The sequence below is a fragment of the Homo sapiens genome, chromosome 17 (assembly GCF_000001405.40).
Source record: "Homo sapiens chromosome 17, GRCh38.p14 Primary Assembly".
In the NCBI taxonomy this organism is placed as follows: domain Eukaryota; kingdom Metazoa; phylum Chordata; class Mammalia; order Primates; family Hominidae; genus Homo; species Homo sapiens.
The window spans coordinates 37,062,611-37,077,084 of NC_000017.11; the positions used below are offsets into that span (position 1 = coordinate 37,062,611).

The 14,474-nt window shown below is 45.8% G+C and overlaps 2 annotated features.

The window, feature by feature from the left end:
- Positions 1,881-2,436: an enhancer, noted in NCBI's record as "H3K27ac-H3K4me1 hESC enhancer chr17:35421791-35422346 (GRCh37/hg19 assembly coordinates)". NCBI's record gives its function as "activates a minimal SCP1, AML or CMV promoter by ChIP-STARR-seq in naive H9 embryonic stem cells {active_cell/tissue: H9 hESC(naive)}" and the evidence as "EXISTENCE:reporter gene assay evidence [ECO:0000049][PMID:30033119]".
- Positions 2,992-3,546: an enhancer, noted in NCBI's record as "H3K27ac-H3K4me1 hESC enhancer chr17:35422902-35423456 (GRCh37/hg19 assembly coordinates)". NCBI's record gives its function as "activates a minimal SCP1, AML or CMV promoter by ChIP-STARR-seq in naive H9 embryonic stem cells {active_cell/tissue: H9 hESC(naive)}" and the evidence as "EXISTENCE:reporter gene assay evidence [ECO:0000049][PMID:30033119]".

A 14,474-nucleotide genomic window follows, 5' to 3' on the forward strand; every position in this document is an offset into this window, starting at 1 on the left:
TGCCAGCTTAGGGATGCAGTTTCCTTTTTAGAAGTTGATTTCCTGCTCTCCACATGCATTGCTAAAACCCCTCCAACGTGACTGCCTCTCTCAGTCTTACCATTTAATCCAAAGAGAGCAGAGTTTGAGGCTTAGAATGAATCCAAATATGATGTTGGTCATAAAGGTTTGTACCATTCCCCAGGAATGAAGCAGTCACTCTGTACATGGAATGTGTTAATGCCAAGATCCACGTCTCCCCGGATCCAGACGCACAAATGAGGTAGGTGCGTGCCTCAGCACAACTGTGCAGGTGGGTGGAGGTGAAGGGTGTCAGGGAAGGGCCCAAGGCTGGGTGCAAAAGCATGGGTGTTTTATGCCTGGGCCACTGCCTGCCCCTCTGGTGACATCAGAACCGTGCCACTTTCTATCCTTGCTGTTCTGTTGCCCGTGTTTAATAAACACAGACACAACAGTGAGCCTGGCCTAAAATGAATGAACTTTGTTTCCTGCACCTCAGTTTGTGTTTTTACTTTTTTGTTGTTGTTATTGTTTTGAGTCAGAGTCTCACTCTGTTGCCCAGGCTGCAGTGGCGTGATCTTGGCTCACTGCAACCTCCACTTCCCAGGTTCAAGTGATTCTCGTGCCTCAGCCTCCCGAGTAGATGGAATTACAGGCATGCGCCACCACGCCTGACTAATTTTGTATTTTTAGTAGAGATGGGGTTTTACCACGTTGGCCAGGCTGTCCTTGAACTCCTGACCTCAGGTGATCCGCCTGCCTCGGCCTCCTGTGTTTTTAATTTTTATGTATGTGGCTGGGCACAGCAGCTCATGCCTGTAATCTCAACACTTTTGGGAGGCTAAGGTGGGAGGATCACTTGAGTCCAGGAGTTCGACCTCGAGATCAGCCTGGGCAACAAAGTGAGACCCCCCTCTCTACAAAAAATAGAAAAAAATTAGCCAGGTTTGAGCTAATTGATGGTGTGCACCTGTAGTCCCAGCTACTCAGGAGGCTGAGGTGGGAGGATCACTTGAGCCCAGGAGGTCAGGGCTACAGTGAGCATGATTGTGCCACTGCACTCCAGCCTGGGCAACAGAGTGAGACCCTATCTCAAAAAATAATAATAAATGTATGTATGTGCATGTGTATCGGGGCATTGTACTAGAAATTAAATAAAGCTTGCCTTCATGAAGAGAACCATTCTCCTTTTAAGTTTACTTCTTTTACTTTCTTTTCTCTTTCTTCATAACATTTAAAAAATAATTGCCAGAAATTTGGTAAGTTCATTAACTAATTCTCTCAAGTCCAGGCTGCACATCACCCTGCTGATTCGTGTGGATTCAATTTGTCCAACAGTTCTATCGATGAAGTCCTCATTATCCGCTCCTCGTGTGTGGATGGGAGGAAGGTTGTAAATGCAGCCTGAGTGCACCTTATCTAACTTTTGTTTTTCTCGTAGATCTATAGATTTCCTTTACGGTGCCTTTCTTGCCCATCATGTGGGGTCTGCCAATAGGATCGTTGCCTCAACTGCATTTATATTCCTGAGAAGTTTACTCCATTTATTTCCCCTGGTTCCGGGTTCTTGGAGTTCATTTGTTGAGGTCAAGGACACCATGTTCTCAGGAAAGAAAATTTTAAAGAACGTGGAAAAAAAAAAAAGCAACAGCTGCACATCACTGATCGGGTAGAAAAAGAATATAAGGATCTCAATAGGCATCCGGACGGTAACACATGAAGACTCCTGCTCACCCCTCCCCCACATCTGCCTCTCTACGACTGGGTTGGAAATGAGCTCCATGTGTGCTGGGCAGGCAGGTTCCTGGCACCGGCAGCTGGCCGCTTCTCTTTTCTGCGATCTGCCCCTCCCGTGCTACCAGGTTCTAAGAGGGACTTAAGAACACATTGCTAGTGCTGGCTTTGGCTTGTGTGATGTTTGAGTAGAGGACACGTGTGATTGAAGGCTGGAGTCATGGAGAGAATCGTGGACTAGAAATCAAGTCTGCTGGGGTCTGACCTTGAGGAAGTCACTTCCCTCGGGGTCCTTATTAGTGATCTGAGGGTCAGTTCATGGCTGCTAAGGACTTTCCCATTCTGAAGCCGCTGTTTCTAAGTAAAAGCAGCATCGCAGACGGGGGTTAGTGCGGTGTGAGAATGCTGTTCAAGTCCATTCCTTCAGGTATTTCTTGACCTCCTACTGTGTGACAGGCACTGGGGGAGGCTTAGCAAGGGGCTCTTTTGGCAGGTGACCCAGTCTCTAGGTGGTTTCTGTTGACCTCCTCTTTTCTTCCATAGGGTTCTCTAGACTTGGGTCTCATCAAAAACTGCTGCCCCCGCTGCAGTTGCTCTTAATCTTGGCTGGAACTCCTGGAAGCTCAGGCTCTGGATGCATTTTCAGGTTTAGCATCACTTACTTTCCCAAGGTTCTGGCTCTCCAAGGTGAAAGCGCAGCCTCAAGGGAGGGTGATAGCCCGGGTGCTCAAGGCCCCTTACATCCTGGGCCTTCAAAGTCTGGCTCTGAGAGACCGCCTGCGGGAACGCAGATGCATTAGTATGCAGGTGTGCTGGTACAGAGCACAAAGCAATTAGCCTGCTGCTCTGCAATTTCTGCCTTTCCCCAGCAAGTGTGACTCAAGTTTTGGTTCCTTTGCCTGCATGGCCAGCACCGTCCTTTCTCCTGTGGGGAGGCCTGGGGGCTTCAGGGGATGCCTGTTCTAATTCTAGGAGTGGTCCGGAGCATCTAGACCAGAGCTGTCCGATAGAACTTTCTAGGATGATGGGAATGTAATCCGGCTGTTCTGTGCTATCCCGCATGGTAGCCACCAGCCACGTGTGCACTTGCAGGATGGCTAGCAGCTAATGTATTAGTTCAGATCTGTATGACTATTTTCCAACATTTTGCAAGGCACTGCGAGTGCTAAAGTTAAAGATGAGGCAAATGGTCAGCAGCTGGGGTGGCAGGAGCTCCAGCTGTACCCGGGCTGAGGGTCTCAGTGTCTTCACACACCTGTGCCCACCCCAGCAGGCTGGGTGGAAGGCCCTGTTCTAGACCTGAGCTGGGGCTGGTGGTGTGACCTGTCTCCACTGATTTCTTGGCCCTGAGACCTGGGGTAGGTGGAGGGCGTGGGGAAGTGGGCGGTTTTCTGCCTTGGTGTCCAGGGTGGTCCGGGGAGCCCGGGAGGCTGACTCAGTCTCATCTCCTCCTGAGGGACTGAGCTCGGAGCTGAATCCCTGATGCCATAAAATTATTTTCCAGTTTGACTCTTGTGTCCTTTAAAGTTGTAGCACACTACACTTGGTTTTAAGAGCTAAATGTAAGGCAAATACAGAGCACTTTAAATGTGATAACTCTGAGTTCATATTGTTTGAGGAGATAAGCAAAAAGGAGCAGGTGCTTTGAATTCACTTATCAGCGTTTTCGCAGGCTCCTGTCCCTCCGCACCCCCCACCGAGGTGCCGTGATGTTCCACGAGGATCTTGGAATTGGAGGCTTCCCCGGGCTGTGGGGCCACCGTTTCATCTGCTCACCTTGCTGGTAAGGCCAGGGCTTTGTTCCCGGGAGTGCTCGGGCCGCAGGTGTGTGTGTCCGGGAGGCTCCTGCCGGGCAGGGCAGGGAGAGGGGCCTGGCCTGGGAAGTAAGCCCCCGTGACAGGCTCCTCAAGCCTCTGGAGCCCTGGGGAGAGTTTGCATTTTCGGATCACGTCTCCATCCTCCAGGAGAAGGATGAGAGGGGCCGGCTTTAAGTCCTAGTTCTTGGGTATATAATTAAACAGAGATTTTCCTTCCTGAAGGAACAAAAAGAGGCCAAGGACAGCCTAATTGAAACCTCAGGATTGCTTCTCCAAGAGTGGCCTGAGCAAGTGGGCCGAGGTAGATTTGCAACTCTGGCTGGTGGGGTGGCCCGAGCCAGGGGGGCCCACGTTCGGCTGCTGACGGCGGTCCACAGGAGGGGAGGGTCTGTTGGGCGGGGGAGCCTCTCTCTGCCTTGCTTCCTTTTAGGGTGAGCCTTTGGTTCTCCTGTCCCAAACCGAGGGGGGCCACGTGGGAGCCGGCAGCACACACTGGCCACCACTGACCGCTCCTGCTGTCCTGGCACTTCCGCCCCCTCCCAAAACGGCAGCCCACAGTGACTGGTCGCAAGTGCCATCAGAAATGTGCGCCGCTTACGAGGCTGTCAACCAGGCTGGTTCTTCCAAAGTCGTCCATTACCAGATAAGTGAAGGTAAAATAGTGATGCTTTATTAATTGCAGGTATGGCACGGGTTTTTATACCTGTTTATATACACTTGCTCCGGAGCGGAAGGACTTTCTCATCTCTCCTTGCCTCTCCCCCACCCCCAGAAGAGAATTTCAACTTTAAGACAAACAACTTCATTTACAAGTGTGTCTCTAATTAGCTGCAGAATTAGGAAAGCTGAGCTTTCCCCCATAGATCCGCTCAACCCTCGAGGGAGACTGGTGGAATAGAGAGAATCGCATTTCCAATTATTTTGTTGAATTGCTAATTTAGTTATTGTGCCTGGTGTAATTGTGATGGGTATTGGGTATGCAATTCAATTTGTTTTAAATATTTGTGGGAAGGCTGATCAGTAATGGAGCTGACCTATTTTGTGGCCCAAATTGAGAAAAAAAAAAAAGACTAAAACACAACAGCCACAAAGATACAGTTTGTTTCCATTTTTATTTTGATCTCTCTCATCCCTCTTAAGATCATTGATGCAACAAAAGGATTAAATTAAAAGATGACAGCACTTTGATCTTCTCCCTTTGAAAGCTTAACTGTCCTTGGTAGTTTAATATGCAGATATTTTAGGGTAGAGTCTAGATGCATTGCTGGAGTTGAGTAGTTTCTGCCTCCTAAAATTGCATTTCTGCATGTGCCTAAAAGTGATTTGGGGTACTCAACTTTCTAATAGTGTGTAAAGTAGTGGAGGTGTATCTGTAACAAATAACGCAAAGCCGTGAGAGCCACAAGTTCGCCACTCCTACTGGGCAGAAGTCCATTCCAGAGTCCCGGAACCTTCCCTCCAGGCAGCACCACGTGCAGAGGTTGGTGGCCAGGAACCCCACCCCGGGTGTTTGCATAAAGCTCACCCATTGGGAGCCCTGCTCCTGGTTGATTTGAGCCTGTGCAGGTGAGAGGAGGGCTAGGTGACAAGTTCCCTCATGGCTGGCGGTGACTCTGTGGAGCTAGCTCCTTGAGGGCCAAGCTCCAATGTCCCTCTTCAGCCAGAGTCTGGACCGGGAGGTATGGGCCAGGGAAAATCTGTGATGTAATCTTGTTTACATGCCTATTGGATGCTGAGTCATAAACACAGTCTGGGCCTGGGCCAGGGCTGTGGCTTGAAATCAGAGCTCTGCTGGGACCTGAGGTCACAGAAATAGATTGCAGGAGTTGAGCCTTGGGCACGTACGACCGAGGTTGCTTACAGGTGACTGGAAGCCCTCACCTTCCACAGCATCCCGCCGGGCCCGCCAGGCGTCCTCAGACACAGGCTAACTAGGGCTTGGTTGGGCAAGATCAGAGGGTGGCGGACCAGAGCAGATTTTGAGAAAAGGTTATAATAAAATGGGTCATAGATGCGGCTGTTGTAATGAATTTGATCCTAAAGGATTCGTTTTGTAACTCGATTAGCTTAGCAAGGTGCCAGGGTCAATTTCCGTGCTTAGCTGCTAAAGAGAAGTTTAAACTTCATTACTCTTACGTGAGAGCTCACCGGGACCAACTGGAGGAACTCAGCCCCAGGTGGATCCCTTTTAACAAGCTGTTCTGGAGGAGCTGGGCGAGGACAGCTGATGGCCGCAGCTGCTGATCCTGAGGAGGGGCTGGGTCCCGTGTGAGGACAGATAGGAGGGTGACCATTGAACCAGCCAGGCTGGAGCTGAAAAGAAACTGGCAAGCAGCTAGAGCAGCTGGGGATGGAAGGAGGAGGAGGCGTTTGTGGAAACAGCTGCAGGGCAGGAGGGCAGGCTGCGGGGTAAGGTCTGTGTAGCCTCTACCCCGTGATGGTGGTGGTTGTTATTATTTGAGACAGTCTCGCTCCGTCACCCAGGCTGGAGTGCAGTGGTATGATTTCTGCTCACTGCAACCTCCACCTCCCTAGTTCAAGCGATTCTCCTGCCTCAACCTCCTGAGAAGCCAGGATTACAGGTGTACGCCACCACGCCCAGCTAATTTTTGTATTTTTAGTAGAGACAGAGTTTTGCCATGTTGCCCAGGCTGGTCTCCAACTCCTGACCTCAGGTGATCCACCCGCTTTGGCCTCCCAAAGTGCTGAGATTATAGGCATGAGCCACCATGCCCAGTCTCCATTTTTTTTCTACAGTGTTGTTATTGAGGTAGAATTTACATACCATAAAACTCACCTGTTGTAAATGTACAATTCCATGGTTTTTGCTACATCTGTGGAGTTGTGCTGCCACTAACACGGCCCATGTTTAGGACATTCTTATCACCCCACAAGTTCCTCTAGCTTTGCCGGAACTCCCTGCTCCCAGCCCCAGGTAATTTGCCTTCTTTTCTGAACATTTCATTTAAAAAGAATCATACAATCTGGAGTGTTTGTGTCTGGCTTCTTTCGCTTGGCATGAGGTGTTTATATCTTTATTGTAGCATATATCAGTACATTCCTTTTGATTGCTGACTAGTCTTCCATTGTGTAGATATACCACATTTTGTTTATCCACGTGCCTATTCATGAACATTTGGATTGTTTCCAGATTTGGGCGATTATATATGAAGCTGATAGGAGCAATCACAAGCCTTTGTGAAAGATGTTTTCATTTCCCTTGGGCAGATACCTAGGCATGGAATTGCTGAGAATGAAAGCTTATGTTTAGCTTTTTCAGAAGTTGTTAAACTGTTTTCCAAAGTACCTGTATCACTTTATATTTACACCAGCAAAGTGTGCGGGCTCCGGTTTCTCCACATCCGTGCCAACACTTGTAATTGTCTGTCTTCCAATTATAGCCTTTCTGGCAAATAGTGGACTCCCATTGTGGCTTTAATTTGTTTCCCTAGTGACGAATGATGTTGAACATCTTCTCGTGTGTTCATTATTCATGTATCATCTTCTTTGGTGAGACATCTATTCACATCTTTTGGCCTAATTTAAATTGAATTGCCTTGTTGCCTTGTAAGGATTCTTTATATATCCTGGATTCAAGTCCCTTATCAGATATATGGTCTGCAAATATTTTTTCCCAGTCTCTGGCTTGTCTTCATTTTCTTTTTTCTTTCTTTCTTTTTTTTTTTTTTTTTTTTTTTTTTTGAGATGGAGTCTCGCTCTGTTGCCAGGCTGGAGTGCAGTGGCACGATCTCAGCTCACTGCAGTCTCCACCTCCCGGGTTCAAGCTATTCTCCTGCCTCAGTGTCCCAAGTAGCTGGGACTACAGGCCTCCGCCACCACACCCAACTAATTTTGTATTTTTAGTAGAGACCGGGTTTCACCATGTTGGCCAGGATGGTCTTGATCTCTTGATCTCGTGATCCACCCGCCTTGACCTCCCAAAGAGCTGGGATTACAGGCGTGAGCCACCGCACCCGGCCGTCTTCATTTTCTTAATGGTGTCTTCTGGAGCACAAAAGGTTTTAATTTTGATGAAGCCTAATTTATCAATTTCTTTTTTTCTTTTATGGATTATGTCATATCTAAGAAATCTTTTCCAAATCCAAGGTCACAAAAATTTTCTCCTACATGTCTTCTTGTGGATGTTTTATAGTTGTAGCTTATATATTTAAGTCTGTAATATATTTGGGGTAAATTTTTGTCCATGGTGTAAGAGTCTAAAAATATAACTTTGTGTATGGATATCCGAACGTCTTGGCACCATTTGTTGAAAAGGCTAGCCTTTCCGCCATTGAATTGTCTTGACTCCTTTGTGGAAAATCAATTGACCCTAAATGCTAGGATTTATTTCAAGACTGTCAATTATATTCCATTCTATTTGCTTGTGTTTATATCTGTGAACATTTTAAAATCAGGTAGTTTAAGTCTTCCAAATTTTTATCAAAATTGTTTAGAGTATTCTGGGTCCTTTGCATTTCCATATAAATTTTAGGATACATGGCCGGGCGCAGTGGCTCACGCCTGTAATCCCAGCACTTTGGGAGGCCAAGGTGGTTGGATCACAAGGTCAGGAGATCGAGACCAGCCTGGCGAACACGGTGAAACCCCGTCTCTACTAAAAAAATACAAAAATTAGCCGGGCGTGGTGGCAGGCGCCTGTAGTCCCAGCTACTCAGGAGGCTGAGGCAGGAGAATTGCTTGAACCCAGGAGGCAGAGGTTGCAGTGAGCCAAGATCGCACCACTGCACTCCAGCCTGGGCGACAGAGTGAGTCTCCATCTCAAAAAAAAAAAAAAAAAATTAGGATACGTTTGTTAATTTATTTAGCTTTTCCTTCTTCTTCTTCTTTTTTTTTTTTTTCTGCCTGAGACAGGATCTTTCTCTTTCACCCAGGCTGGAGTGCAGTGGTGTAATCACAGCTCACTGCAACCTCAACCTCCTGAGCTCAAGCCATCCTCCCACCTCAGCCTCCTGAGTAGCTGGGACTGCAGGCACATGCCACCACACCCAGCTAATTTTTTTTATTTTTTGTAGAGACAGGATCTCCTTATTTTGGCCAGGCTGATGCTGAACTTCTGGGCTCAAGTGATACTCCCGCCTCAGACTCTCAAAGTGCTGGGATTACACGCATGAGCCACTGTTCCCGGCCTAAATTTGTTAATCTCTAGAAAAATGTCTGCTGGAATTTTGATGGGATTACACTGACTCTATAGATCAATTTGGGGAGAACTACCATCCCAACAACATTGAGTCTTCTAATCCATGAACATGGAATATCTCTTCAATTGTTTTTATTTAATTTCTCTCAGCAGTGTTTTATAATTTCAGGGTACATGTCTATTTCTTTTGCAAAATTATTCCTATGTATTTTATTGGTTTTGATGCTATTGTCAATGAAATTATTTTAATTTCATTTTTAGATTTCTTCTTGCTAGTGTACAAAAATACTATTATTGAGTTTTTAAATTAATATTGTAGCCAGTGACTTTGCTGAATGCATTTATTAGTTCTAGTTTTTAAAAATGGATTCCTCATATAGGATCATGCCATTTGTGAATAATGAGTTTTAATCTCTTCTTTCCAATCTATAAACCTTTAATTTTCGTGTAGCCTATTGCATTGGCCAGCACCTCCAGTGCAATGCTGAGAAGTAGCAAGAGCAGATATTTTTGCCTTGTTCCATCTTAGAGAGAAAAGCATTCAGTCTTTCACCATCAAACATGAAGTTACTTGAGGTTTTTCACAGACGCCCTTTCTCAGGTTTTGGAAATTTATTTCTATTTTTTTTGAGACAGTGTCTCACGTCGCCCAGGCTGGAGTGTGGTGGCACAATCTCCGCTCACCGCAACCTCTGCCTCCCAGGTTCAAGCAATTCTCCTGCCTCTGCCTCTCAAGCAGCTGGCATTACAGGCACGTGCCACCACACCCGGCTAATTTTTTTGTATTTACTTTTAGTAGAGACGGGGTTTTGCCATGTTGGCCAGGCTGGTTTCAAACTCCTGACCTCAACTGATCCACCCGCCTCGGCCTCTCAAAGTGCTGGGATTACAGGCATGAGCACTGCGCCCGGCGGAGATTTCTTTCTATTGATAGTTTGTTGATAATTTTTATCTGGAATGGGTATTGTATTTCCAAATGCTTTTTATGTGTCTACCGAGAGGGTCATGTGGTTTTTGTCTTTTACTCTATTAAGATGGTGTGCTACATTAATTGATTTCTGGGTGTTAAACTAACTTTGTACTCATGGGACAAATCCCACCTAGCTATGGTGAATACTTTTTTTTCTTTTGAGACAGGGTCTCTTGGGTGGAATGCAGTGGTGCGATCATGGCTCACTGCAGCCTCAACTTCCCGAGCTCAAGCGATCCTCCCACCTTAGCCTCTTGGGTAGCTAGGACCACATGTGTGTGCCACCACACCTGGCTAATTTTCTTTTCTTTTTTTTTTTTTGAGACAGTCTTGCTCTGTTGCCCAGGCTGGAGTGTGGTGGCATGATCTTGGCTCACTGCAACCTCTGCCTCCCAGGTTCAAGTGATTCTCCTGCTTCAGTCTCCCAAGTAGCTGAGACTACGGGCATGTGGCTCCACGCCCAGCTAATTTTTGTATTTTTTGGTAGAGACAGGGTTTCAACATATTGGCCCCTCTGGTCTCAAACTCCTAGCCTCATGTGTTCTGCCTGCCTGGGCCTCCCAAAATGCTGGAATTACAGGCATGAGCCATCATGCCTGGCCCACACCTGGCTACTTTTTACAATTTTTTTTGTAGAGACAGGGTCTCACTATGTTGCCCAGGCTGGTCTCGAAGTCCTGGGCTTGAGCAATCCTCCCTCCTCAGCCTCCCATAGTGCTGGGATTAAAGTTGTGAAACTAAAAAACAAAAAATGTTGCATGGAATACTATGCAGCCATAAGAAGGAATGAGATTATGTCCTTTGCAGGGACGTGGATGAAGCTGGAAACCATCATCCTCAGCAAACTAACCCAGGAACAGGAAATCAAACACCACATGTTCTCACTCATAAGTGGGAGTTGAACAATGAGAACACATGGACCCAGGGGAACGACACACACCAGGGCCTGCTGGGAGGTGGAGGGGGTCGAGAGGAGGGAATTTAGAGGGCAGGTCAATAGGTGCAGCAAACCACCATGGCACAGGTATACCTATGTAACAAACCTGCACATTCTGCACACGTATCCTGTTTTTTTTTTTTAGAAGAAATAAAATTTATATATAATATAAATATATATATACTTATATACTTATATATTGCTAGGATAGGCACAGTGGCTCACGCCTATAATCCCAGCACTTTGAGAGGCCAAGATGGGTGGATCACTTGAGGTCAGGAGTTCGAGACCAGCCTGACCAACATGGTGAAACCCCATATCTACTGAAAAATACAAAAATTAGCTGGGTGTGGTGGTGCGCACCCAGATGGTGGGAGGCTTAAGTGGGAGGATTGTTTGAACCTGGGGGTGGAGGTTGCAGTGAGCTGTGATCATGCCACTGCACTCCAGCCTGGATGACAGAGTGAGAACCTCATCTCAAAAAAAAAAAAAAAAAAGTGTGGGTGTGTCTTGCTGTATTCAGTTTGCTAATTCTTTTTTTAAAGAGATGGAGTCTTGCCACGTTGCCCAGGCTGGGGTGCAGTGGCTATTTAAGGATATGCTCATGGCATACTACAGCCTCAAAATCCTGGGCTCAAACAGTCCTCCTGCCTCAGCTGCCCAAATAGCTGGGACTACATGCACGCCACTGTACCTGGCCCAGTTAGTTAATATTTGCTAAGGATTTTTGCATCCTGTGTTCACAAGGGATACTGGCCTGTAGTTTTCTTGTGATGTCTTTGGCTTTGGTATCAGATAATACTGGCCTTGTAGAATGAGTTGGAAAGTGTTCCTTCTGTTTTCTAAGAGAGTTTGAGAAGGACCAGTATTATTTCTTTTTTTTTTTTTTTTTTTTCAAGATGAAGTCTTGCTCTGTCACCCAGGCTGGAGTGCAGTGGCGTGATCTCAGCTCACTACAACCTCCACCTCCCGGGTTCAAGCAATTCTCCTGCCTCAGTCTCCCAAGTAGCTGGGATTACAGGCACCCACCACCACACCCGGCTAATTTTTGTATTTTTTGTAGAGACAGGGTTTCCCCTTGTTGGCCAGGCTGGTCTCGAACTCCTAACCTCGTGATCCGCCCTCCTTGGCCTCCCAAAGTGCTGGGATTACAGGCGTGAGCCACTGCACCTGGCTGTTATTTCTTCTTTAAATATTTGACAGAGCATTTACCAGTGAAGCTTTCTGGGACTGGGGCTTTACTTTGTGGGAATTTTTTTTTTTTTTTTAAGACTGAGTCTCACTTTCTTGCCCAGGCTGGATTGCAGTGGCATGATCTCGGCTCATCACAACCTCTGCCTCCCGGGTTTAAGCCATTCTCCCGCCTGAGCCTCCCAAGTAACTGGGATTACTGTTGTGCACCAACACACCTGGCTAATTTTTGTATTTTTAGCAGAGACGGGGATTCACCATGTTGGCCAGGCTGGTCTTGAACTCCTGACCTCAGGTGATTCCCCCACCTCAGCCTCCCAATGTGCTGGGATTACAGGTGTGAACCACCGTGCCTGGCCTGTGGGAGGATTTTTAGTGACTAATTTCTTTATTTGTTATAGGTCTATTTGGATTGTGTGTTTCTTCTCAAGTCAGTTTTGGTAAATTTGGGTCTTTCTAGGAATGTGTTCATTTTACCTAAGTCTAATTTCTTGGCATAAAGTTGCTCATAATATTTCTTTATAATCTTAATTTTGGTAGAGCCACTAGCAATGTCCCCTCTTTGATTCCTGATTTTGGAAATTTGTGTTGTTTCTCTTTTTCTTCTTGTCAATTTTATTGTTTTTTTCTTTTCTTTTCTTTTTTTTTTTTTTTTAGATGGAGTCTTACTCTGTCCCCAGGCTGGATGGAATACAGTGGTGCGATCTCGGCTCATTGCAACCTCCGCCTCCCGGGTTCAAGTGATTCTCCTGCCTTAGCCTCCCGAGTAGCTGGGATTACAGGCGCCCACCAACATGCCTAGCTAATTTTTCTATTTTTAGTAGAGACGGGGTTTCACCATGTTGGCCAGGATGGTCTCGATCTCTTGACCTCGTGATCCACCCACCTCGGCCTCCCAAAGTGCTGGGATTACAAGTGTGAGCCACTGGGCCCAGCCTGATTTTTTTCAAAGAGCTAACTTTAAGTTTCTATTGACTTTTCTCTGTTGTTTACTGTTTTCTCTTTCACTAGTTTCCACTCTGACCTTTATGTTTTCCCTTATTCTTCTTGCTTTGGGTTTAGTTTATTCTCCTCTTTTTTCTTCTCTGTTTTTTTGGGGTGGAAGTTTATTGATCCAGATCCAGACCTGTTGTCTATTTCTCCTTTTTATTCTGTCAATTTTTGCTTTCTGTATTTTGGGGCTCTGTTGTTAAACATGTATACATTTATAATTGTTATAGCTTCCTGACAAACTGATTCTTTTAGCATAATAAATGTTTATTTTTGTCTCTAATGACATTATATATATACATATAGATAGATATAGATATTGATATTGATATTAATGTAGCCACTCCAACCCTTATGGTTACTGTTTGCATAGTAGATGGTGTTTTTATACCTTTACCCACTTGTGTCTTTGAATCTAAAGTGTTTTTCTTAAAGACTTAAGACCCAGCCTCCACAAAATTAAAAAAATTAGCCAGGTATGGTGGTACACACCTGTAGTTCCAGCTACTCGGGAGGCTGAGGCAGGAGTAACAGGCATTTTGTTTGTTTTTTTAAAATTTTAATTATTATTTTTGAGACAGGGTCTCACTCTGTCACTCAGGCTAGAGTGCAGTGGTGTGATTTAGGCTCACTGCAGCCTCAGCCTCCAGGGCTTGGGTGATTGTCCCTCCTCAGCCTCCCGAGTAGCTGGGACTACAGGTGCATGCCACCATGCCTGGCTAATTTTTTGTATTTTAATTTTTTGCAGAGACGAGGTCTCCCTATGTTGCCCAGGCTGGTCTCAAACTCCTGGACTCAAGCAATCTGCCTGTCTCAGCCTCCCAAAGTGCTGGGATTACAGGCAAGAGCCACCACACCCAGCCTAGATTTTTTCACCTAATCTGACAGTCTATCTTTTGATTGGAGTGTTTAGTCCTTTCAAATTTAATGTAATTATTAATAAGGTTCATTTGTTTTTCCTTTACTGCTTGCTTTTGTGTTTTTTAGAGACAAGGTCTTACCCTATCCTGCAGGCTGGAGAGCAGTGATGCGATTACAGCTCACTGCAGCCTTGAACTCCTGGGCTCAAGAGATCCTCCTGAGTAGCTGGGACTACAGGTGTATGCCACCACGCCTGGCTATTTTTTTTTTTTTAATTTTTCTGGAGACTGGGTCTCACTTTGTTGCTCAGGCTGGTCTCAAACTTCTGGCTTCAAGAATGCTGGGGTTACAGATGTGTGCCACCACACCCAGCCCCAGTGTTGTTTTTAATATATATATATTTACATACATACATGTTAAATTGTGGCTAAGAAAACATAAAACTTACCATCTTAACCATGTTTAAGTGTACAATGCAATAGTGTTAAGTATATTTACATTGTCCTGCAACAGATTTCCAGAAATTCTTACCCCACAAAACTGAAACTTTATACCCATTTAACAATTCCCAGTTTACCCCTCACTCCGACCCCTGGCAACCACCATTCTTTCAGTTTCTATGAATTTGACTACTTTATTTTTTATTTATTTATTTTTTTGAGACAGAGTTTCTGTCACCAGACTGGAGTGCGGTGATGCGATCTCGGCTCACTGCAACCTCCACGTCCCGGGTTCAAGCGATTCTCCTGCCTCAGCTTCCCGAGTAGCTGGGATTACAGGCATGCACCACCATGCTCAGCTAACATTTGTATTTTT